The sequence below is a fragment of the Homo sapiens genome, chromosome 12 (assembly GCF_000001405.40).
Source record: "Homo sapiens chromosome 12, GRCh38.p14 Primary Assembly".
In the NCBI taxonomy this organism is placed as follows: domain Eukaryota; kingdom Metazoa; phylum Chordata; class Mammalia; order Primates; family Hominidae; genus Homo; species Homo sapiens.
In genome coordinates, this window is record NC_000012.12 from 49,553,351 (window position 1) to 49,578,394 (window position 25,044).

A 25,044-nucleotide genomic window follows, 5' to 3' on the forward strand; every position below is an offset into this window, starting at 1 on the left:
TGCCCAGGCTGGTCTCAAACTCCTGAGCTCAAGCGATCCTCCTGCCATGGCCTCCCAAAGTGCTGGGAGTCATTGTGCCTGGCAGGAATGATTTATAGGGGGTTCTATCTGGGAGGGAAAGGAAGAAAATGATTTCTTTTTGGTCGTCTTTGTGTGAGGCACTTTATCTACATTAACTCTAATTTAGCCTCAACATGTCCCTGGACAGACACACCCTATTTCATTGATTCTAAGACACACATCTCACCCACCCTACCCAATCTAACATCTCTGAGATTACACCGCAGGCTCTAATTGATGCCATTTAATAATTACTGTCAGCCAGGTGGCAGTCTTAACCTGCCTGTGGGAAAACCTCCATTGACCCCTTCTGGTGAGATCAAGAATATTCCCTAGACTCAGTTAAATGCAGCATCTCTTGTAGAGCAGAGGCAGCTAGGGCTCAGGAAGGTAAGCCTGGCTGCCTGGCATTTTCCCTATGCCACACAGGGCTCTAATTTGCTGGTTCCAAACACTGATTCCTGGACAAGCTGCATCTGAATCACCTGTGGGACTTAAAAACAATCAGACTGTGGGGTCTCCCATAGATACTGTGACGCTGTAGGTAGAGATAGGGCCTGGGTGTTTGTTCTGACTTTTGCAGGGGATTCTAATCAACATAGCCAGCTGTGAAACACTAGAACTGATGTTCAGTCTCTCTCAGGGCTATAATTCAGGTTTTCTGGCACAGTGGTTTTGATCCTGAATGTGTTTGAGGGCCTGGGTCACAGAGCTCTTTACCCCAAGCCCATGTGGGAGCCAGTGAGACAGGCTGCAGGCGTCAGGCCATGTCCCAGGCCTCTTTGCTCCTCTCTCTGCTGGCTTCAAGGCTTCAGCTACAGAGGCCCAGCCCAGCTCTGAAGGGAATCTCAGCAACCTGCAGCCCCCTCTTCTCTCCTCATGGCTGAAGCTCTCAGGGCTTGCTGACCTCTACTTCCTCTCCCCAGGGAAGGGCGACCTGATCGGCTGTGAGCTGCCCCGGCGGGAGCAGGTGGTAAAGGCCAATGCCGACGTGAAGGGGCTGACGTACTGCGTCCTGCAGTGTCTGCAGCTGGCTGGCCTGCACGACAGCCTTGCGCTGTACCCCGAGTTTGCCCCGCGCTTCAGTCGTGGCCTCCGAGGGGAGCTCAGCTACAACCTGGGTGCTGGGGGAGGCTCTGCAGAGGTGAGTGTGCTGAGTATGTGCTTGGAGGGGATGGGGGTGCCAGGGAGCCTGGTGAAGTGGGCAGAGGCTGGGGATGGTGGAGAGCTGTGTGTGAAGTGTGGCCTGGTATGAAAGCTCCCACCTTGGGCAGGGGTCTACACCCTCTCTGCCCTTCCACACTCATGTGCCCAGCCCAGCATGTGCAGCCACCCCTGCCAGCTCTCCTTGGCCTGTCTGAGGCAGCCTTACCCTGTCCAGAGGAATCTTAGTGAAGGTAGATGAATGCATCAGTGCTGGCACAGGGAGGGGTGGCTCCTGGGGGTCAGGGGCTGAGCAGGGCAGAGACAGGCACCAGCTCTTCAGGTTGCTTCTGAAGAGAGCCTGGTGGCCCCCTGTGTTTTTTCATGGTGAAACAGGATTGTTCTGAGGGGCTTTTGAATTTCCCTGGATTGTCACTAATTCCAAACCAATTTTTAGCGCCGCATTCTCTTGGATAGTTTAATTAGGCTGAGGGACCTGGTAGAGGAGTGGTGGTGTCCGTATTTGGCTAGAATTTTGAGAGGTAGTTAACACCTCCAGGGCTTTGGTGGCTTTAGATAGATTATAGATTAAGATAGTATCATCTGGCCGGGCGCGGTGGCCCACGCCTGTAATCCCAGCACTTTGGGAGGCTGAGGCGGGTGGATCACGAGGTCAGGAGATCAAGACCATCCTCGCTAACACGGTGAAACGCCGTCTCTACTAAAAATACAAAAAAAAAAAAAAAAAATGAGCCGGGTGTGGTGGCGGGCGCCTGTAGTCCCAGCTACAGGCTGAGGCAGGAGAATGGCATGAACCCGGGAGGTGGAGCTTGCAGCGAGCCGAGATCACACCACTGCACTCCAGCCTGGGCGACAGAGTAAGACTCTGTCTCAAAAAAAAAAAAAAAAGATAGTATCATCTATAGGACCTTCAGTTAGAATAGATGTTGGCTATTCTAACAAAGATGGCTCATCCCTTCCAGGGTAGATGAAGCCTTGGTAGGGGAGGTGAGTGGGACACAATAGTGACCATCCATGCCGATTCCCTGTCCCTCACTATCCCTAGGTGGACACCAGCTCCCTGAGCGGCGACAATACCCTTATGTCCACGCTGGAGGAGAAGGAGACAGATGGGGAGCAGGGCCCCACGGTCTCCCCAGCCCCAGCTGATGAGCCCTCCAGCCCCCTGCTGTCCCCTGGCTGCACCTCCTCATCCTCAGCTGCCAAGCTGCTATCCCCACGTCGAACAGCACCCCGGCCTCGTCTAGGTGGCAGAGGGAGGCCAGGCAGGGCAGGGGCTTTGAAGGCTGAGGCTGGCCCCTCTGCTCCCCCACGGGCCCTAGAGGGGCTACGGCTGCCCCCCATGCCATGGAATGTGCCCCCAGATCTGAGCCCCAGGTGAGCAGACCCTAGGCCCCCGTGGCAGAGATGGTGGTGATGAGGCTGAGGCCCTGGGCAGGCGCACCCTGCCCTAGGTGCCCATCTAACCATCTTAACTCCCGCTAGTCTATGTGGGCCAAGCCTGCCTCCTCCAGGAAGCCTTCTGTGCTCCTCCTTTCTCCTGCTGTCCCACTCCACTGTGTGGTGTGTGGCACACGCTGCTCTGAACTCTTGCATCTCATGCTGCTCAAGCTTGGCCCCCCAGCTAAACTGTAAGCTCCTAGGGGAAGGGACCCCATGTTAGCTTTCTCCTGGGCTCCTGGTCAGTTCCACGCTCCTGCAGCCTGTGTGTGTGGACGCTGGGGCATCCCGTCCCGTATGACCCCACAGTGGCTGCCTGTCCATTGATTTGTTGTCCTGGTACCTGGGTTCACAGGGTAGTAGATGGCATTGAAGACGGCTGTGGCTCGGACCAGCCCAAGTTCTCTTTCCGCGTGGGCCAGTCTGGCCCGGAATGTAGCAGCAGCCCCTCCCCTGGACCAGGTACCAGGGCCCCGGGATGGTCTAGGTTGGTGGGGCAGCCCCTTTGCCTTGTGAACCTCAAGCACTGTTGACCTCTGAGCCTTCAATGTTAGAGAAACTGGCAGACTGCCTGGAGGCCGTCTCACCCCACTACCCCTTGGTGTCGTGCGGGCAGGGGAGTTTGGTGGTGAAGACCAGCACTTTAATTTCGACGCAGCCAGGAACTGGGTTTATATCCTTGCTCTGTCAGCTTTCTAGCAGTGTGAATTTGGCTTCTCTGGCCCCAGCTTCCTGTCTGTAAAAAAATGGGTTGATGTTTACGTTATATAATGTAACTGAAAGCCTTAGCCCAATCTCTGGCTAACTGAAGGGATAGAGGGCTGGGGATCCAGGGGTGAAAATGTCTCCAGGCCAGGGAAGTGGACAAGGTAATGAGCTCCTAGGAATGTCCATTTGCCTGGAGGACAGAGCAAGGGACAGGCACAAAGAACAACTTTTTGAGGGGAAGGAGAGCACTAGGCAGTGTGGCTGAGGGCTGCTGGGTGGTGTTTTCCCTGCCCCTGGAAGTTTGGGCAAAATTCAGCACCTTGGGCAAGGCCAGAAGAGATGATCCTAGGAGTCAGGTCCTACCAGGTCAATGTGCTCTAACTGGGGCAAGGCCTAGACCCCCAAATTGCCTATCTCCTCTTACCAGCCCCAGCTGATAACCCCATCCTACTACCCACAGAGAGCGGCCTGCTCACTGTTCCCCATGGGCCCAGCGAGGCAAGGAACACAGACACACTGGACAAGCTTCGGCAGGCGGTGGGTGAGGGGGAAGGTGGAGGTGAGGGGGGCACCAGGGGAAGGCACTCCATGGCTGACTCCATTCTGACCTCGCCTCCTCCCTCCCCCAAAGGTGACAGAGCTGTCAGAGCAGGTGCTGCAGATGCGGGAAGGACTGCAGTCACTTCGCCAGGCTGTGCAGCTTGTCCTGGCGCCCCACAGGGAGGGTCCGTGCCCTCGGGCATCGGGAGAGGGGCCGTGCCCAGCCAGCACCTCCGGGCTTCTGCAGCCTCTGTGTGTGGACACTGGGGCATCCTCCTACTGCCTGCAGCCCCCAGCTGGCTCTGTCTTGAGTGGGACTTGGCCCCACCCTCGTCCGGGGCCTCCTCCCCTCATGGCACCCTGGCCCTGGGGTCCCCCAGCGTCTCAGAGCTCCCCCTGGCCTCGAGCCACAGCTTTCTGGACCTCCACCTCAGACTCAGAGCCCCCTGCCTCAGGAGACCTCTGCTCTGAGCCCAGCACCCCTGCCTCCCCTCCTCCTTCTGAGGAAGGGGCTAGGACTGGGCCCGCAGAGCCTGTGAGCCAGGCTGAGGCTACCAGCACTGGAGAGCCCCCACCAGGGTCAGGGGGCCTGGCCTTGCCCTGGGACCCCCACAGCCTGGAGATGGTGCTTATTGGCTGCCATGGCTCTGGCACAGTCCAGTGGACCCAGGAAGAAGGCACAGGGGTCTGAGTACCAGCCCTAGAACTCAGCGTTGCCAGGTGTGCTGCCATCTGCTGTTCGGCCCAACCTCAGAGTGAAGGCAGGGTGGCAGCCTCCCCACGGACTCCATGCGGCCCGCTGGCTCAGGGCAGGGAGCCTGGAAGCAAAGGAGGACCTGGCTCCTGACTCTCAGAGAGGATAGGCTGGATCCCTGGGGCAGGCCTCTCCTCGGCCTGCTCCTCTGACCTCCCGGTCTCCCTCTGCAGGCTGGGGGCAGAGGCCTGAGGACAAGGAAGAGCTTTGCCATCCCCTGCATGTGCCCCTGCCTCTACCTGTCCCCAAATTTTTATATTAAAAAAAAAAAATAAAATAAACTACTTTGGAACCTGGTGCTTTTTATTTACAAAAGAAAAACAATAAAAGAAGAGTCTGAGGCTAATCAGCTGGAGACACAGGAGTGAAGGTGGCAATGGGGGGTAGGGTTGTTTTTAGAGAGAGGAAGATGGGGAGGGGCTCTGGATCTAGGGAAGCCTGAGGTTCTCAGCCTCTGCTGGCTTCACAAAGGCCAGCCCTATCCTCCCTCAAAGGCTCAAATCAATGGCCCGCAGCTGAGCCTCCCACTGCCCAGGTTTTTCCAGGAGCCTGAGTTCCCAGCTCAAGGGGGCTGGAGTGGCAGGGGAAACAGGCCGGAGAGGGCCCACGAGTCCTGCCACCACTCCTCACTGTGGTGTGATCTTGGCAGCCTCAGCCCTGATGAGGGCAATGAGGTCCTGGTTGATAAGGAAGACGAATCGCAGGCTGGCGATCTGGGTGGGAGACAAAGGTGGCTTAAGACAGAGGTGGCACCAGGACCAAGTTGGTGTACTGGCTCACCACGCCTAGGTCTCATCCTGGCCTTCCTGCCTCCTCCCCAGCTCACCTCCACCACAGAGTTGTTGCTGAGGCGCCATTTGGAGCCACAGAGCACCGGCCGTCCATCGATGTAGATGGGCCGTCGACCCTCATTGGCAATGAAGAAATCACCGTTGTTCTTCAGCTTGATGACACCTGTGGAAGCAGAAAGAAAGAAGGGATGATGGGATGGGGAGGGATTGATGGGATGGGGAAAGGCCAGAGAGAGCCAGGAGCTTCCATGGACCAGCTCTGCTTCCTGCAGACACCAAGGAATCCCTGCCTCAGGTGGTCCACGAGGGTCCCCATGGACACCAAGCCCAGGGCTAGAAAGGACAGCGAGAGGCTGGGAGGGACGACCTCACACTGCTTCCTGCTGGGGCAGGGGGTGGGGGATACCTTGTTTCCGGGATATCTTCCAGGCCGGACCCTCCAGAGACAGGTCCACATCAATCTGGTTATCCTTGGTTGCTCTGCCCAGGGTGATCTGGGGAAATGGGGCAGGTGAGGGCTGGGACCTGAAGAATTGGGGGAGTAGGTCTATGCAGGCCAGAGAAAGATGGGAAACCAAGGACTACGCAGAGAAAGGCACTGACAGAGGAAGCAGCCTAAGAAGGGCGGGGATGGGCCTGCCTCACCTCACGCGAGCGCATCAGGTACCGCACCATGCGGCCCCGCAGCACTGCCAGTGTCTGGTTGTCGAAGTCCGGAGAGCTCATGCCTGGGAGAAGAGGGAGTTTGGAAGAGCCTACCCCTGAGGGCCAGAATGCAAGGCAGGGAACCAGGGCAAGGTTTATAAGGGAAGGGGGTCGGGGCCTGGGAAACGAGGGTCTCCCCAGCCAGGCAGCAACAGGGGCACAGGCTGGGGCGAAGGATGCTGAAGAGTGAGCCTTCTGGTGCCCAGGCCTCCTCACCTGTGATGCTGTCCACTAGCACCTGCCACTTATGCAGTTCCTGTTCCAGCTGCCGAATCTCTCGCTTCTGGCGCCGGTCAGCCACCATCAGCTCTGGGGTGAGGTGGGGTGGTAAGGAGGGATGCTCTGAGGCCACCAGCACCTTGTACTGGTCCTCTTGATTCTGGCAGGAGCTTCCATCCCCTCACCACCCCATGAGGCCATACTTACCATGTTCCAGGACCTCATCTCGCATGTCCCTGAGGGGCAAGAAGAGAAGGAAGATTTAGGTCCACCTTCAGCTTGCCTGTTACTTGGCTCATTAGGGCATCCCTGAGCCCCTTTAGCCAAGTGGCCTGGAAGGTGGTACATCAGGCCTTGGCCCAGCCTCCTTCTCTGGGGTTGGGCTGGGGATAAGGGTAAAGCAGCGGAGCCTAAGAAGGCCCCAGTGGGAGGGGAGGGGGCTCAGCCAGGGGGGGCCAAGCACCAACGGGAGCCCAAGGGCTGGGGCTGGGCAGCCTGGGGCGCTCTACCTGACAGGAGTGACTCGGCTCTCTCCACCCCTTCCTGTGTCTCCAGCCACTCACTTGAGCTTACTGTCATCAATCAGGTCCTCTGCATCAGAGAAGTTCAGCACTTGGTCCCCTTTGGGCAGCGGCTGCACTGAACAAAGGACAGAGAAAGCGTGAGCACCAAGGGTCTTGCTGAACCCGATGCTGAGCGGACCACTAAGCCAAGTGGACCAGCTGCAGACTGCGCTGGGTGGAGAGCCCAGCACCAGCAAGGGTGCCCATACCAGATTAGGCTGGGCTCTAATTTGGCACAAAGCATCTTTAGGCTTAGTTGAGGGTAGAGGTGGTTCTAGAAAGGGAAGGAAATTAAAATTGACCTTTTGTATGGGCTTCTTGGTGTGCAAAGGGCTTTGATTACACAGCCTTGAACTAAGCAGGGGAGGCACTACCATTAGCTCTATTTTACAGATGAGGAAACAGACACAGGAGAGGGGTTAAACTATGTGACCCTAGTTTGGGACGGAGGCAGGATTTAGATCCTGCTCTCTCCATTCGAAATCTCAACCTCTCCTTCCATCACATCATATGCTCTCCAGCATTTCCTGCCACGCTGTGAGGGGCTGGGAGGCACCTGCCAGCCAAGTTCCACTGAGAAAGTACGTGCTGGTGGGCGCCGCCCACCTTAAGCCAATGTCTCTTGATCTGGGGTCATGACCTGCTAATGGGTCATGAAATCAGTTTCATTTTTTCAAAAAATGAAATGGAATAGGAAAATGAGCATCAGAGCCCATCAGATATGCTCAGGATAAATACAGTTTCATGAAAGTCTGTTTTTTTTTCTGGCCACAATGTGAAAGGAAGTCGGGAACAGTGGTGTGTGCCCACAGACCTAGCTACTCGGAGCCTGAGGCAAGAGGATCTCTTGAGCTGAGAATTCAAGTTCAGCTGGGCAACAGGGAAAGACCCTGTCTCTTAACAAAAATTTAAAGGGATAAAGGCCCCCCAAATCTGAAAACCTCTGCTTTTAGGCCAGCCGTTCCCAAGACTGTAGGGTGTGCTCTATAGCAGCTAGTGGCCATGCAATTGTCAACTGAGGAAGTGAGGGGGAGTGTGGAGGGGCCATAGATGCTCCTCTTCCTCCCACTGAGGTGAGACCATATGGGGGGAAGCAGGGCAGTCACTCCATCAAGTCCCTCCCCACCAGAGCTGCCTGAAGTTCCACGAATCTCATCTTCCGCTGACTTGACAGCTAAGCAATGTGTCCTGCCTATTCCTAGGGTCTCCTAGCTCTCAACGGCAAAGGAGAAATCAAATCCCTTTTGAAGAAATACAAAAACTCTTGAAGGAATAAATAAAACTTTCATGATAAGGCTTTTAGTTAACAAATAAATTTACACAAAATAACTTTCTTTTCTTTTTTCTTTTTTTGAGATGGAGTCTTGCTCTGTCATCCCAGCTGGAGTGCAGTAGCGCGATCTTGGCTCACTGCAACCTCTGCCTCCCGGGTTCAGCAATTCTCCTGCCTCAGCTTCCTGAGTAGCTGGGATTACAGGCGTGTGCCACCAGGCCTGGCTACTTTTTGTATTTTTAGTAGAGACGGGGTTATACCATGTTGGTCAGGCTGGTCTTGAACTCCTGACTTCGTGCCTCGGCCTCCCAAAGTGCTGGGATTACAGGCGTGAGCCACCATGCCTGGCATAACTTTTAAAATAGTGACAAAGGAACTAGCTTTAGCAGTAAAAAGAAAAGTTATCCAGTCAGTATCTGTTCTCTCTGTGGGAATTCTGTGATATCTGAGTCTGAGGAAGAGGCAGAATTTTGGAAGCCGCAGGAATAAAGAGGGCTGCCCCCGGGCCACTAAAATCAGAGGTCCTTAGGAACGGAAGATGGGGCCTCCTTCTGATGAGATTTCCTAAAATGCTCCTGCAGGAATCCTTTTTCCTAAGCAGAAGCTGCGGGACCCTGGTAGTAAGGTGATGGGTACCAATGAAGCTTCATGTTTGAACTGTGTGAAAAACTATGTAGACGGCAATGGGCAGTACTTTTAGAAAGTGAGAACGTGCTTGTACTATGGAAATCAGAACCCGAATTACAGACCTCACTGGGGAGTTCCTCCAGTTTAATCACACTGTTTTCTTACCCCATCACTGGGAGAGTGAGTGCTGTGCTGTTGAGGCAAGAGGAAGTAGGGAGCAGTGAGGCCCTTGGGGAAAGGGAGAGACAGATGGACTGGGTGTGAAGTCCCAGTGGGGATTTATGAATGGCCTGAGGGCAGCTTGACAGCACTAACGGCCTAGTGGGAAAAGAAGAGGAAGAAGGAAGACAGAAGGAAGAACGGAGAGAGGCAAAGAGCGGAAAAGCTCAGAAAAAGTGGTTATTACCTCTAGGGTGGAAAACAAACTGAAGGGTGGGCAGGAAAGTGGACTTTCTTATTTTGCTCATGTTTGAATGTTATCCATAATAATTCATGTGTTATTTATGTGAGAATAAAATATGTCATGAAAAAAACAAAAGACAAGAAATGGTAGATAACTCCGCTATTTGGACCTTTTGCCAAAGATTCCAGGCAATGTTGGCTACTCTTACCATGATGCTGAAGACCATTCCAGCCACTTTCTCTCTCTGGAAAGTAGTTTTTTTTGCAATGTGAGGTGAACAAGACACTGGGGATCACTGAGGAATCTGTTACAGGGCACTTGAAGGCAGCTGTGTCGAGTACTTCAGACACACACACACATGCACGTGCACACACCCCCATTCTGCCAGCTCCTGGGGCGTTACCTGTCTGGTCCTCCAGCAGGTAATACTGCTTCATGAGCTGCCAGTGGGCCTGCAGGGCCTTCGCGGTACGGGCCAGGTAGAAGGCATCAGGGTGTCTGTGCAGCAGGTCCTGGAAGGTCTCCAAGGTGGGCTGGCTGGTCTAGAGGGCAAGAAACATTCTCTAGGCATCTGGGCTTTTTCACACATGCCTCTCTGCCTTACCATCTCTACCTCCCACCTCAGCATCCCCCAGGAGCTGGAAGAAGCAAGCTAGTCACCCAAGAAGTCAGGCTTGGCTCTTCCTGAGGCCCCTGTCACAAACGCCCCTGCCAATGTGCACACGTGTGCATGTGCACATATCCAGACAGTGGGTGGGGAGCTCTCCACATCAGTGGTTTTCTAGGTGGTCCAGCTCTCGCTGTGCCCTGATCCTCCACCTTCCCAGCCCTCAGCCTTACCGATCCCACTTTGCTCAGCAGCTGCTCCTCAGCCTTGCTAAACAGGGCCTTGCTCTGGATGGCTGCAATAGCCTCTGGGTGCAGCTGCCTCATGGCCTGACAGGCCAACCTGGACACGGAAAGAGACAGAGGGGAGGGGTGAAGGAAAGGTGTCAAGCAATCTGGGGTTCCTACTATTTCCCCCAAACCTACAGGCTTTTGAGATCCAGAACCTAGAGGCCAGGCCCTCATTAGGAAGGGCCTAAGGCTTAGCAGATAATCTGTGGCTCCACAGGTTTGTCAAGTGAATGAACAGCCAACTCAGAAAACGGAGGCCCCTATGTCCCCTTCAGACCCAGTCCTTCCTGAGGCAGAGCCTTGGACCAGCTGCTGCTCCCTCCAAGTCCTTCCTCCTTACTTGGCCAAAGCTGCCACCCCCTAGCCACTGCCTACCACCTCCCCTTTCCAAGCTGAGCCCAGCCCATTTCCTGGTATATCAGAACTGCAGCTACAACTTAAGTGGTACCAGGGTCTGTGGAGAGGATGGGTGTTAAGCATCCAACCAAGCTCTGAAGACATTAAGTGACAGAGGAAGAGGAACTGTGTGTTGCATGTGTATGAGTTTATTTGGAAGCCTGTGGCTACTGGAGCTAGAAGGGGGCTTGGTGTTCTTCTATTCGACTCCCCCTTGTTAGGAGGATGAAACTGTAGGAGGTCAATGTGGAAAGGCTGGAGGTGACCCGCCCAAAGCCACAACACACACAGTGCACTCCGGGCACTCATTTTAGTTTTCTCCGCCCAAAGCCACAACACACACAGTGCACTCCGGGCACTCATTTTAGTTTTCTCTCCCATGCTATTCCCTCTGCCTGCAGACTCCCTTGCCTGGAGGCAGGAAGAAACTTCTCTTTGAAGCCTCTCAGGCCTCAGTATCACCCCCAAGGAGCCTCCAGGAGTCCTGCCTCCCAGACCCCTCCTGGGGCCCTGGTACAATTCCCTCTGCTCCAGGACCCAAATTCTGGTGTCCCAGTACCTCCCCACTGCTGGAACCAGCTCCCACTCACTTGGAGATGACAGGATCGTAGAGCAGGGCGTACCAACGCTCCTGGACCTCCCGAAGGGTGAAGCGGCAGCTGAATTTCACGCCCAGGTGGACGGAGGTCAGGTCGTTGGTCTGCAAGGCCCCAGAAGGATTTGCTCCAGCCTTGGAGCTGGGAACAACCCTTCTTTGCCACCCACAGGGCCCTGTTGGGCTAATTTTGGGGTGCGAACTGGAGGTTGGGGGAAAGGGGCACACTGAGCCTATGGTGGGGGCACTACCTGCAACACAGCATTTATGAGCAGGAGGTCATCTGCAGGCTTCCAGCGGCCCAGATCCTTGGTCACCTGAAGTGGCTGTTTACTCTTCTTCACACGCTTGGTGAGTCCAGGGGCTGGGGCTGGGCTGGGTGGCACAGGAGTGCTGGGGGCTTTGGATACCTGGGCAGAGGACAGGAACAAACCAAGCTCAAAGCCAGCATCCAGTCAGCTGGCGCTTCATGACTAGAGTTTCACATACTCTGTGGCAGCGGCAGCCCCAGCCCCAGCCTCAGCACCAACTCCAGCCCACAACAGGAAGCACAGGAAAGGAGCTCAGCTTTCTAATACCCACCCCCATCCCACCAAGTTACTTCTATATAGTCCTTGACCATACGGGGTCTTCTCTTTGCTGGCAGTATCCCCGACCCCAGAGTGAAAGTTGGGTGGGGAGGATACCGGGAAATCACTCTTGCTGGTGCAGTGTCTAGGGCCACAGCAATGCCACCTGGGGGTTATTTTTACACTCTGCAATGCTGGGAACAGGCTGTCTGCTCCCAGAATAGATGCATGCTCCATGCCTCCCACACGGAATGTGATACAGGATGCAATGGCAGGGTTGGGGGTGGGGGCTGCAGCAAGAAATGGGGAGTAGGGAGAGGTGTGTTCCCAGGAGGGGGGCATCTGAGATGAGGGCTGGGGCAGCTTGGTCCTCTCACCAGCCTGCTCTGCAGGGCTCTTGGCAGCTGGCAAAGGTTCTGGGGAAACATGAAATCTGGCACTACCTCCCATCCCCTAAGTCTCCCAATTCCTCACCTTCTTCTTCTCACTGGAGGAGGGTTCACTCCCCGAACAGCGCCCTGGTTCCACCCCACTGGCCCCCTTTGCCCGGGTAGAAGATTTTGCCAGGCTGCTCTCCACCAGCTCATCATCGAACTTCTTCCTCTTGATGAACCTGTAAAGGGTCCTGCCCAGTGAACACTCCTTACCCCACCCTGGTACCCATTCACACACCCCCAGCCCCCAAAAGAGAGCAGGTGCCCAGTAGGGTGCTATCTGCTCCAGCCTGCTTTCACTTTACGCCACAGCCTGGTTGTGGCCATGGAACTGCTACACTCCAGCCCTCTGAGATGACAGGGTATCACACCACAAAGACTTCACGTCAGAGACCTAAGATCTCCCTCCCCTGCCCTCAGTCCCACAGGGAAGGATTTAGCAGGGACAGGAAAAGCACAAGGCTCTGCCAATACTAAGGCCCCAGAGGGGCTCAGGCAGCCATTCCCAACAGATGGGGAGGCATGTGGCACTTAACGCCACAGACCTTCTACCCTTTCCCAGTTCCTGGCCCTCCGAACCCTTACTACCTGGAGGAGCTTCTCCGTTTAGGGATGGTGCCCAAGGCCTGGGAGGAGGCTCGCTTCTGCCCTGCCAGTGACTCCTCATCCTCTGAGCGGCTGGCAGTGCCTGATGCCATCAGGGATGAATCTAGCAGCCCCTGAGAATCTAGCAAGAGAGAAATGGTGGATTCGGGCCTCCTAAGATCCTAGAGCCTCTGCAAATGGGACCCCTCCCCAGCCCCCTTCCCCTGCCAGCCCTCTTGGCCCCTCCCCTGCCTCCTTGACACTTGAGGTTTTAAGGTAGAGTTCCTTGGCCATCCAGATCCCATCTGGGCTCAGACCTGGCCCAGACCTTCCACGCTGGGCAGTTCCCCCGGTGCCACGTGTCATGTCGTGCAGCACATGGTGCTCAGGTCAGACTGGTGATGCCGACACGCTGGGCTCTGGGCATAACTGCTCCCTCTGCCATCAAAATGCAGCCGTGCTAAAGAGCAGCAGCTCAACAGCAAGTCAGTCAACTGTGGCTCTGCCGACAGGTACATGGGTGGTGCTGGCCCAGGGGGAGGTGGCAAGGCCTAGCCAGGACCGAAAGACACACGTGCCAGGCACAGAGTGGAATCAGCAGATGCTTGGCGCCCGAGCATTTGGGGAGCTGTCCCGGCCTCATACTACCTTTGTCCATCCTCTTACAGTCCCAAAGCCACTGGTTCCAAACCACCGGGCTAGGAGGAACGGTCCCACAGGCTCATCCAAGGATTCTGACCAGGTGAGCTTAAAGGCTGAGAGGAGATTCTGCAAAGGAGAAATGAGGCTCCCTGAGGCTCAGATTTCCAACTGGCCAGCCTCACTTCCTTATACTGGCTCAGGTCCCCCAGGGTCCCATAAGCTAGGGAAGACATAAGGACAGGAAAGAGGCATAAGGCCCCACTCTGCCAATAATAGCCTTAGACATCAGTCTTGTGAAGGTCACTGGCACCTTTCAGAGTATGATAACAGCTATGGACTGCAGAAAAGGGTGCAAACACATACTATTTTAGAGGGTTCATAGACCCTTTAATTCTACTGGTATCTCCTAGGTTAAGCGCCTTGACTATAAACTAGCAAGAGACAAGGGATTCTTTGGCCCACATTTTTCTTTACTTCAGCTGTCCACTCAGCTCAGCAGCACCAGCCTTCCCCTCCCAGGCCAAAGCAGGAAAAAAGAAAGGGAGACAAAACTCCAACCAGTCCATCTCGTTTTTTTTTTGTTTTTCTTTTCCATTTGGGGTTTTTACTGAAGATTTAGTAAGTGGTATTTCCATGAGATACCATCTCGTGGAAACCAAAAACCACTGTTTGGGAACTGCGTGATTATCAACCACGCTGTGCCCCAACAACCCCTAGAGAACCCAGGTACTGGACTTTCTCGGGGCGCTCCTCTCGTGAGTCCCCACTTCTAACCAGGGTGGCTCTTAGCTCAGTGTTCTAGCCCTGTCCCCAGGTGAGCCTGTCGCTCTCCGCTCCATAGGCTACGACTAAGAATCTTGACATCTGAGGAGAGGGCGAAGGGGCCCGAGCTTGCCGGCAAACTGAGGTAGGGTCTGTGCCCCTTCCTTACCGGACCCTCCGCCCCTCGTTCTCCCAAGAGTGCACACCCAAGGTAGGGGATCGGTCCAGGTCTGTCTCAAGAACTCGGGGTAGGAGCATTGATGAAGTCACCTCTGCAACTCAAAGCAGAGCACCAAGTAGCCTTGGTTTGAGACCCACAGGCTGGTGGCTGGGGAGGTGGGGGTAAACTCGCAAGCCCATTCTCACCCCACGGTCTCCATGCCTTTGCGCATGCGTAACACTTCGAGCCAGATTCTAACCCGGTCCGGCCCACGCATGCGCAGCTTTTCGGGGCGCCACTGGGGCGGGGCCCCAAACTTGGGGGGTGGTCGTCCCCGGCGGCACTCTGCAAAACTCCATTTCATCCCCAACTCCTCTGAGAACCCTCAGAGGCGAACCGCGAGGTCTCACCATTCCTAGACTGCCAGATCCAACAATTTCTCCGCGGCGACGGTAGCAGCCGCAGGGCCAAAGCCGGCTTCCGTGAGGTACGTCTACTTCCGGTTAACGAACCAGGGGGCTGGCAATCTCTTCCGGTTCGTCTTGGCAACGTGTGTGAAGGGGGCGTGGCCATGGTACGGAAAGTGTAAATATTTTACCAATAGCGGAAAGTAAAGGCTTTCCTAGTTGGGACAGCATATAGGGAAACGTTAAGGATTATAGGCACCGGAGAGGTAACCCGGCTTGAGGGGTTGGTTAAAGGGAAAGGCGAGACTTAGGGCGAGACCGAGCGGGGCTAATTGAGGCGACCCGGGGAGGGGCGGGACCGCGGACTGGATTTCGACTTCCAAATTCCCACGAGGTATAGGAGTCTGAGGGTTGCACAGGACCTTATGCATTGTTTGACTCCTCCAGAGCCTTTAGAGAAACTTCTATCAGGCCCGCCTGCTAGGCACTAGTCGGGGAGATAATGTAGCCAGGGAGATGTGGCGGACAGAAAGGGCAGAGAGGCTCTCTGAGGAGCGGATGGAGGATCGTGGGCCGCTTTACTGAGAAGGAAGAGACCCTGCGAGAAGGAGTAGTGTCGACTTGGTCCCGTCAGCCGGACCCCACCTGGACGGCTGGGGCCACTTGTGGTCGCCGGGAGGTAAGAGAGAAAACCAATGGAAGCACCTTCAGAGGAGAGTGCCTTGGAAGGAATCTTGGGGTGGGAGAACGAACCTGTCGGAAAAATTGGGAATTTGGGGCTGTGAGAGATGTTCCGGAAAACTAGAAAGACTGTTGTCTAAAAGAGGAATTCTGTTTTATGCTTCCTTTGCGAGGTACTAAAGTCTAGCAGCTATAGAGAGACATACTTCAGCTCAGAATAAGAAAGATTCAGTTCCAAAGCTGTCCATCAGAGGTGTCAAGAACACATAACATGGACATTGCTAGGGAATTCAAGTGTCAAATGAGAGACTGGCCCTTTTGGCCCTGACGGTATACTATGGCCCTCTGCTTCGAGAGTACCAACCTCATTTACTGTTCTGTGGACTTGTTTAATGAGTATGTACTTATTTTAACTCCCATGAAAGAGTGTGTGTTTTATTTTTTAACAGGCACTTGATTAAATATATTATGTAAACTTGTGAAAATATCAGAAAACCAATGAAATTTTTTTTTTTTGAGACAGAGTCCCGCTCCATAGCCCAGGCTGGAGTGCAGTGGCACAATCTCGGCTCACTGCAACCTCCGGCCCCCGGGTCTCGGTTCAGGCAATTCTCCTGCCTCAGCCTCCCGAGTAGCTAGGATTACAGGCACGTGCCACCATGCCCAGCTAAGTTTTTTTTTTTTTTTTTTTGTAGAGACAGGTTTTCACCATGTTGGCCAGGCTGGTCTTGAACTCCTGATCTCATGATCAGGCTGCCTCGGCCTCCCAAAGTGCTGGGATTACAGGCATGAGCCACAGCACCCGGCCTGAAATAATTTTTATAAAAAGTGATTACACAGAACATTAATAATATTAATGTTATTAAATATATATGAATTCATGATAACTATTAAAAACATACAAAGGAAAAGACAGTTGAAGGAAATGCACCAGAATGTTAACACATGTCCAAGTGGTAGTAGTAGTAATTCTTCTCTCTAATTATTTTCCAGTTTTTTAATACATGGTTTTTAAATTTTGTTTTATTTTTTTTGAGACAGAGCCTTCCTCTGTCACCCAGGCTGGAGTGCAGTGGAGCGATCTCGGCTCCTGCAACCTACACCTCCCGGGTTCAAGCGATTCTCATGCCTCAGCCTCCTGAGTAGCTGGGATTGCAGGTGTGCGCCACCATGCCTGGATAATTTTTGTGTTTTTAGTAGAGATGGGGTTTCACTATGTTGACCAGGATGGTCTCAAACTCCTGACCTCAAATGATTCACGCACCTCAGCCTCCCAAAGTGCTGGGATTACAGGTGTGAGCCACTGCGCCCGGCCATATTTTACAATGAAAAAAAAAATAGGTTCTACACAACTTCTTTTTATTGATTGATTGATTTTGAGGCAGAGTCTCGCTCTGTCACCCAGGCTGGAGTACAGTGGCACAATCTCGGCTCACTGCAACCTCCACCTCCTGGGTTCAAGTGATTGTCCTGCCTCAGCCTCACAAGTAGCTGAAATTACAGGTGCCTGCCACCTGCCTGGCTTATTTTTGTATTTTTAGTAGAGACGGGGTTTCGCCATGTTGGCCAGGCTCGTCTCGAACTCCTGGCCTCAAATAATCCACCCGCCTCAGCCTCCCAAAGTGCTGGATTACAGGCGTAAGCCACTGCACTGAGCCACAACTTCCTGAGTGAAAGAGGAGAAAGGAAAACTCTTGGCTTCCAGCTGCCTGAGGTAATTCCTTCCCCCAAGGTGTCACGAGGGAAAGGTGGTGGTCACCATCATCTCCTGTTTGGTACCTGGAAACTCAAACTTCCCCTCTGGTCCTCAATCCTCCCTACTATTGGATAAAAAGAAACCTAGGCACCCTTGTGGTATGGATGCAGGGATTTCTAAAGGGCAGCTTCCTGCTCAAGATTGTGTTTTCTGTTTACACAGCGTGGTGGACTATACTAGCTATAGTTAGTATATATAGTATAGTATCTATACTAGATGAAAGTTCTCAGGATGGTCTTCTATGAAGAGGTGATGACTGAGCTGAGATTTGATGTCGATAGGCAACCAGTCATACAATAAGGTGGGGTACACCGACCCCATCAGAGGGGATAGCTCTGGCTCCAAAGCAGGAAGGAGTTTGGTGAGTTTGAGGAACAGGAAGGACCCCGGTGTGGCTGGAGCAGGGCGATCAATAAAAAGAGGGAAAGAGTTGAGAACAGAGGAGTCATCAGAGGGCAGCCCATGCCAGCCCGTGTAGTTCTCAGTATGGATTTTGGCCTTTATTCTTGGTTCATTGCAAAGCTCTTAAAGGATCACAAGCAAGGGCATCCTGTGATATGATCTAAGTTTGAAAATGATCCCTCTGGCTGCTTGTGAAGACTAGATTGCAGGGGGCAAAAGAGGAAGCAGAAAGATCAGGTAAAAGGGTATTGCAGTGATCTAGGTGAGAGGTAAACCCAGGTGGTTTAGCTGGCATGTGGGGGTGGTGAAGATGGACAGGAACTGTGACTGTGGCACATTTTGGAAATAGAACCCCAAGGAGTTGCTGATGGATTGGATATGGGATATGAGGGAAAAGGAAGAATCAAGGATGAGACTGAGATTTTTGGCCTAAGAACCTGGGTGGATGGTAGAACCCCCTGCTTCAGAATATATCCAGAATGTGACCCTATCTTACCAGTTTTCCACGGTCTCCTGGTCCAACTCCCCATTATCCATTATCTGTTACCTGGACTATAGCAAGAGTTCCCTAACTGGTCTCCCAGCTTTCATCCTTACTGCCCTTCTTTAGTTTATTCACAGCAGCTGGGGTATTCCTATTACATTGGCAATCTACTCACATCCTGCTTCTGTTCAAAGTCCTCCATCTTCCTCAGGATAAAAGCTCATGGCCCACCCCCTGTTGCTTCTCTGACTTCACCTCCTGCTCTTCTCACTTGCTCTTTCAAAAATTTCAGTCCTCATCCCCTGCTCACTGTACCTCTTCTTGGCTTTCTCCTTAGCCCTTATTATCTTCTAATTTACTTATTTTTTTCTGTTTACTATAGGTTTTCCAGTAGTAGAATGTAAGCTTTAGGAAGGCAGGGTTTTTGTCTATTTTGTTCACTGCTATAGTAGGTGCTTAATAAATATTTATTGAATAAGTATCTTATGTAAATTGACTGCAGAGAAGTCTGTGGGAGGAGCAGGTTTGTACAGGGGCAGAAAAAAAGTTCTGTTTTAGACATGTTAAGTTTGAGGTGCCTGTAAGGCATCTTGGTGGTGCTGTAGAATAGAGAGGTGGGCACGTTAGTTGGGTCAGGGAAGAGGCCTGGACTGGAGATATCCACTGGGGAGTCATCATCAGGAAGATCTGGATGTGGATGCTTAAGGAGAGAGTGTGGATAAGAGAATGAGGAGGGCTCAAGACCATTGCATGGGACATGCCAACATTTAGGGCAAGGCAGAGGAAGAGGGGCAAGAAAATAAACCAAAAGAAGAATGTGGATAAAAAGAAAAGCTAGCAATGGCACCCATTATCCAGCTTCCAGTTAACTCTTCCTGGCTCTAGAACAGTGGTCCCCAAGCATTTTGGCACCAGGGACTGGTTTTGTGGAATACAATTTTTCCACAGACAGGGGGTTGGGGAACATGGTTTCAGGATGAAACTGTTCCACCTCAGATCATCAGGCATTAGATTCTCATAAGGATGGTGCAACCTAGATCACTCGCATGTGCAGTTCACAATAGGTTTCTCCCTCCTATGAGAATCTAATGCCACCGCTGATCTGACAGGAGGCGGAGTGCAGAGCTCAGGTGGTAATGCTCACTCGCCTGCTGCTAACCTCTTGCTGTGCAGCCCAGTTCCCAACAGGCCACAGCCCAGTACATGTTGGGGACCCCTGCTCTAGAGTAGTCTTTCATAGTCAGGCACTCTTTCCCTGGGGCTGATGTGGTTTACAATGGAGGCCACATTCATGGTTCCTCCTGGAACTTTGCTCAGGGCCCCAGGCTCCATCTTCTGGGGGATTAGAACACAGTGGTTAAGAACATAGGCTCTGACCAGACCTGGGAGCTCACGCCTATAATCCCAGCATGGTGGGAGGCCGAGGCGGGCAGATCACTTGACCTTAGGAGTTCAGGACCAGCCTGGGCAACATGGCAAAACCCCTTCTCTACTAAAAATACAAAAATTAGCCAGGTGTGGTGACACACACCTGTGGTTCCAGCTATTTGGGAGGCTGAGGTAGGAGGACTGCTTGAGCCTGTAGAGGTCAAGGCTGCAGTGAGCCATGATCGCACCACTGCACTCCAGCCTGGGCGACAGAGTGAGACCCTATCTCAAAACAAACAAACAAACAAACAAAAAAAACCCTCCAAAAATATAGGCTCTGTGAGTATGTAGAACTAAACAATCAAAAAGAACATAGGCTCTGGAGCCAAAGTACGTAGTTTGAAACTGCCTCTATCACCTATCAACTTATGACTTTGAGCAAGTTACATTACTGTGCCCCAGTTTCATCATCTGTGGGGAAATAATAGTCCCCACTTCATTAGGATGGTTGTGAGGAGTAAATCGCTTACTACTGAAACACACAGGTGGTATATAGCAAGTGTTCAAAAAATGTAAGCTGTTGTTACTGCTCTTAGGGCTTAGGTCTGAGTGCCTCCTTTCAGGTGGTCTGACTCTAGGACCCAGACTTTGATAGCACAGCCCCTCCCCACTCTTGTCCACTAGAGCAGGACTAGTTGCTGTCTTAGCTAGGGCAGCTACCTCCTGGGACCCAGTCAGAGGACACAGGATCTTGCTGCTGTTGGCTCAAGTATTTTATCTTCCTAGGAAGTCAAATCAAATAAAGCTATTGACCAATACGAAGTTACCTTGGGATTCACAATGCAATTTAAGTCAGCGTACACTCTACTTGAGATCTGTATACTGTGTTTTGTTTGTTTGTTTGTTTGTTTGTTTCTGTAAGGGAAAAGAAACTATCTGCAAAGGAAGATTCTCATGCACAGATTGAAACCCTCTGAGATATCAACCCCCTAGGTAAGAGAATCACAGACAAAACTGTATGAAACCTCTAGCCTCTGTAACATGATAAACACATTTTACTCCAAAGGCCAGCATCATGCTCACTGAAGAAATCTGGATTATTCTGATTAATTAGGTATGTTACAAGGATGGCCCCATGACTCTTTTTATTTAATTTTCCTTTGGGAGTACTGGCTTAGGCAATTAAAGAAGAGAATGAGATATAAAAACTAGAAGAGTTAAAATATATATGATATGATAGCGTACATGAAAAATCCAAGGATATCAACTGAAAAACTAATACAAATAAGATATTTTAGGAAAATGGGTAGAAATGAGTATTTTTTTTAAAACCGCCTGTTTGAGAATATAAGAGAATAGACTGTATTGTTTACAACAGCAACAACACAGTAAACCAAGCACAATAAATGTGCTAGATCTAGGTACCTACATTAGTCTGTTCTCACACTGCTGTAAAGATAATACCAGAGACTGGTAATTTATAAAGGAAAGAGGTTTAATTGACTCACAGTTCCGCTTGGCTGGGGAGGCCTCAGGAAACTTACATTCATGGCAGAAGGCGAGGTAAAGCAGGCAACTTCTTCACAAGGTGACGAGAGAGAGAATGAGTGTGAAAGAGGAACACTTAGATAACCATCAGATCTTGTGAAAAGTCACTATTACGAGAACAGCATGGGGGAAACTGCCCCTATGATCCAATCACCTCCCACCAGGTCCCTCCCTGGACATGTGGGGATTATGGGGATTACCATTCAAGATGAGATTTGGGTGGGGACACAGAGCCAAACCATATCAGTACTCAAAACTAAAATGCCACCAAAGGAAGTTTGAATAAATAGGAAGGCATATTCTATTTTTGGGTAGAAAGACTCACTATTATAAAGATGTCAGCTCTCCATAAATTAATCTATAAATTTAACACAGATCTAATAAAAATACCAACAGAGTACGCAACCTGAATATAAATTCATATGGAAATTTTTGCATCAGGGATAACCATGTTGCTTCAGTAGCATCCTCAGAATGAAAAACAACCAACCAAAACAAAAAGAATAGCCATGAGAACATTTTGAAAAGTAAGGTTAATGAGAGGAGAAGCACTATACCACATATTAATACAATAGTTAAAAAGTAAAATCCAGAGGACACTAGCACACGCATAAACATTTTGATCAGGAGAACATAATAGGCTGGGCGTGGTGGTTCATGCCTGTAATCCCAGCACTTTGGGAGGCCAAGTTGGGCAGATCACCTGAGGCCAAGAGTTCGAGACTAGCCTGGAAAACATGGTGAAACCCTGTCCCTACTAAAAAAATACAAAAATTAGCCTGGCATGGTGGTGTGCACCTGTAATCCCAGCTACTCAGAAGGCTGAGGCAGGAGAATCGCTTGAACCTGGGAGGCAGAGGTTGCAGTGAGCCGAGATGGCGCCACTGCCCTCCACCCTGGGTGATAGACTGAGACTCCATTTCAAAAAAAAACAAAGAGAACATAATAGTCCAGAAGTAGACCTGAGGCATTAAAAAGTTCAGTAAATGATAAAGATGGCATTGTCTGTCAGTAGGGAAAAGATGGATGATATACTAAGTAGCACTGAGACAATTGTGTAGTCACCTGGAGAAAAATAATGTAGTGTCTCTTTTCAGTTCTTACACTAAAATAAATCCATATGAAACAATTATGTTTAAATAAATGTAAGAGGCCAGGCTTGGTGGCTCATGCCTGTAACCCCAGCACTTTGGGAGGCCGAGGCAGGCAGATCACTCGAGGTCAGGAGTTTGAGACCAGCCTGGTCAACATAGTGAAATCCCGTCTCTACTAAACATACAATAAATTAGCCAGGCGTGTTGGCAGGCACCTGTAATCCCAGCTACTCGGGAGGCTGAGGCAGGAGAATTGCTTGAACTTGGGAGACAGAGGTTGCAGTGAGCTGAGATTGTGCAACTGCACTCCAGCCTGGATGACAGAGTGAGACTCCATTTCCGAATAAAAAAAAAAAATGTAAAAGAGTAAAACCACAAATTTATAATGTCACAGTAGAGAAAGTGTTTTCTAGAATGGCACACATTTTCTCATAGCTTTAAAAAAAGACAAATTCTGTCAACATAAAAATCTATAATTTCTACAGAGTGAAAAACACCATAAACAAAGACGAATGGCAAAGTAGGGAAAATATTTGCAACCCGTATCATAGTCAGAGGGGCTAATTTGCTTAATATGTACAAAATCTCTACAAATCAATATGAAAAATAGCAAATTCAATAAGAAAATGGGATGGTTAATGGAAAGATAAACATCTCTTAAACATGAAAAAATACTCAACCTCACAAGACAATTGAAACTACATTTGGTATAATTTTTCACCCACTGATTGGCAAAAAATCTAGATGTTGGACACTTAGCCTTGGCGTGGTTGTAGGGTAATAAGCACTCTCGTGTTGCTGTTAGAACTGTAATTCATTAAGACTTGTCAGAATTACAAATGCATAGAATTTCTGATCCAATGTACTTTCACATATGCAAAATAAATTACATATAAAATTATCAGCCAGGTGTGGTGGCTCACACCTGTAATCCTAGCACTTAGGGAGGCCAAGGTGGTAGGACTGCTTAAGCCCAGGAGTTCAAGACCAGCCTGGGCAAAGTGGCGAGACCTCGTCTCTACAAAAAAATGAAAATTAAAAAATTAGCTGGGTGCAGTAGTCCCAGCCACTTGGGAGGGTGAGGTGGGAGGATCTCTTGAGCCCAGGAGTTCAAGGCAGCAGTGAGCTATGATCATACCACTGCACTGCAGCATGGGACAAAGTGAGACCGCCTCTCTTAAAAAGAAAAAAAAAAGAAAACAGTTATCAGCTGGAGCATTGTTCATATTAGCAAGTTTAGCAAAAACCAACTCACACATCTCTCACTAGAGGACTGATTAAATAAATCATTGCACATGCATACAATGGAATATCATACAGCCAGGCTGAAGAGCTGTCACAAAAATCTTTATAGGCCATGATTGGACTTTATCCTGAGAAGAATGAAGAGCCATTAATGAATTTTTAAGCAGAAGTGTGGAATTAGACCAGCATTTTAGATATCTCTGGCTTAGTATGGAGCATAGATTGAAAGAGTAAAACAGAAGCCAGGGAGATTAGTTGGTGGCCCAATTTAGGGTAGTCACTGAGGGGAAGACACAAAAGATGTAGACGATGACAGGGCTTGGTGAGAGATTGCATGAATGGGTGCAGGAGCTCAGGCACCTATGATGCCCAGTTCAGGCTTTGGCAGTGGATGAGGCTGGCAGATATGCATTGAGACCAGAGGCACAAGTGGAGCTGCAGGGTTGGGGATGAGAAGGAAAGGTGATGAGTTTCATTTGCATTGATTGAGTTGGAGGTGCCAGTGGGCAGCCAGTTGGGATGTGCAGTTGAGCGTTTGCATATACAGCTCTATGACTCAGAGGAGAGATTGGAATTGGGGATGGATTTGGGAATCTTCATCATACAGCTGATGTTTGAGGCAATAGGGCAATCTGAAGTCATGTTGGGATGTCCTGTGGCATGAGAGGAGAGTCCAGGCACTGGAGCAGCCCCTAGGGAACACAGGCAGAAGAGAATGAAAATCCGCGGGAGCTGGAGGAGTGTGGGGAACGTGGGTGGGAAACCAAGAAGAGCATCATATCACGGACCTCAAGGAAGAATGTGCTCGGGTTTTACTGGTGTCTGTCTCTCCCTTGATTTAAAATCCTCCACATAAACTGGGTTTTATTTTTCTTTGTTTTCTCCCCATCTGTCTTATCCCACCTTCAATCGGCATGAGGTTTTGTGCATAATAACTATGTCTGTGGACAAACAAAGGCATGAGTGAGTGACTACAGTTGTAGCTGGTTCTTTACATGACTGTTGTGCACACCTCCACACCTGCTCCTCTCCTTGCTCTCCCTGTCTCCATTCTTCTTTAAATTCTCCACGTTGTCATCAGTGGCTCTCCACTGCCTACAGAGGAGCATCCTCTGGTTGGTCTTCAAGCCCATCCACATCCAGCCCCAGCTGGGCTTATCTCCTACAACACGTGGTGTGGAACTACACCCAGGCTGGCCGCTTGCTGCCACATGAACATGCTCTGTGCTTACAGTGTCCTTTTCCCTTGGATTTCCTGCCTCCCGCCCCCTGCAATAGTTCCACCCATCCTTCCACATTTCATGGAGATCCCACTTAGTCCCAAAGGCCTCCCCAGACCTTCACTGCCATATGTCTTCCCCATTCTCTGTTGCACTTTGTCTTGCATTCCCACACTAGCTCCCTACCAGTTACTACTCTTTCTCCACACTGGCGTGTGAGGGGAGTCTGTCCCAATGTCACCATTCCCCCATGACTTGCCTCCCCACCTTTTCAAGTCTCTACTCAAGCGTCACCCTGCGAGGCTTGCCATGACCCCTCTGTTTTCATCGCCAACTCCAGCACTTGGCACAGTACAATTGCTGAAGGAGTGGTGGGTAGATTGTGAGTCCTCGGGAGTTCAGGACAATACTTGAATTTATTTCTGTAACTGTGCCAGTGCTTTGCATCCAGTCAGCACCCTGTGTTTGCAGTAGGCTCCTGGGAAATGAGTTTTACTCACTTCCGTGCCCCTGCTGCCTAATACAGATCATGGCACCACAGTAGGTGCTCAA

General features: G+C 51.1%; 2 protein-coding genes across 11 annotated transcripts in view, besides 2 other annotated features; one reads left to right on the top strand and one right to left on the bottom strand.

Annotated features, from left to right (window-relative positions):
• The window catches only part of KCNH3 (potassium voltage-gated channel subfamily H member 3), a 19,308-nt gene extending 14,321 nt beyond the window's left edge, over positions 1-4,987 (top strand). For 2 of the 4 annotated variants that reach the window (NM_012284.3, NM_001314030.2), the window contains exons 11-15: positions 987-1,204; positions 2,270-2,601; positions 3,020-3,126; positions 3,833-3,909; positions 4,004-4,987. In NM_012284.3, the coding sequence (NP_036416.1) occupies positions 987-1,204; positions 2,270-2,601; positions 3,020-3,126; positions 3,833-3,909; positions 4,004-4,603 (1,334 nt within the window). In that variant the 3' untranslated portion in view covers positions 4,604-4,987. Of the gene's footprint in view, positions 1-986; positions 1,205-2,269; positions 2,602-3,019; positions 3,127-3,799; positions 3,910-4,003 lie in introns of those variants that run through there. The other 2 variants (XM_011538085.3, XM_047428613.1) reach the window with 2 other exon arrangements.
• MCRS1 (microspherule protein 1) lies at positions 4,949-14,792 on the bottom strand. Of its 7 annotated transcripts, none has more exons than XM_005268572.3 (16): positions 14,698-14,792; positions 14,297-14,399; positions 13,372-13,491; positions 12,727-12,865; positions 12,179-12,317; positions 11,387-11,545; positions 11,131-11,240; positions 10,088-10,196; positions 9,651-9,789; positions 6,945-7,020; positions 6,589-6,617; positions 6,379-6,471; positions 6,103-6,185; positions 5,864-5,951; positions 5,493-5,620; positions 4,949-5,379 (listed from the first exon to the last, which is right to left on the bottom strand). In XM_005268572.3, exons 3-16 carry the CDS (start codon positions 13,379-13,381, stop codon positions 5,293-5,295), a joined length of 1,389 nt encoding a protein of 462 aa, XP_005268629.1. In that variant the 5' UTR covers positions 13,382-13,491; positions 14,297-14,399; positions 14,698-14,792; the 3' UTR covers positions 4,949-5,292. The 7 variants fall into 7 exon arrangements, with proteins under 7 accessions (XP_005268629.1, XP_016874179.1, NP_006328.2 ...); XM_017018690.2 differs by having other exon boundaries at positions 13,041-13,491; NM_006337.5 differs by lacking the exon at positions 14,297-14,399.
• Positions 14,088-14,891: an enhancer, noted in NCBI's record as "H3K27ac hESC enhancer chr12:49961221-49962024 (GRCh37/hg19 assembly coordinates)". NCBI's record gives its function as "activates a minimal SCP1, AML or CMV promoter by ChIP-STARR-seq in naive H9 embryonic stem cells {active_cell/tissue: H9 hESC(naive)}" and the evidence as "EXISTENCE:reporter gene assay evidence [ECO:0000049][PMID:30033119]".
• Positions 15,242-15,291: an enhancer, noted in NCBI's record as "active region_6317". NCBI's record gives its function as "activates an Ori minimal core promoter by ATAC-STARR-seq in GM12878 lymphoblastoid cells {active_cell/tissue: GM12878}" and the evidence as "EXISTENCE:reporter gene assay evidence [ECO:0000049][PMID:35858748]".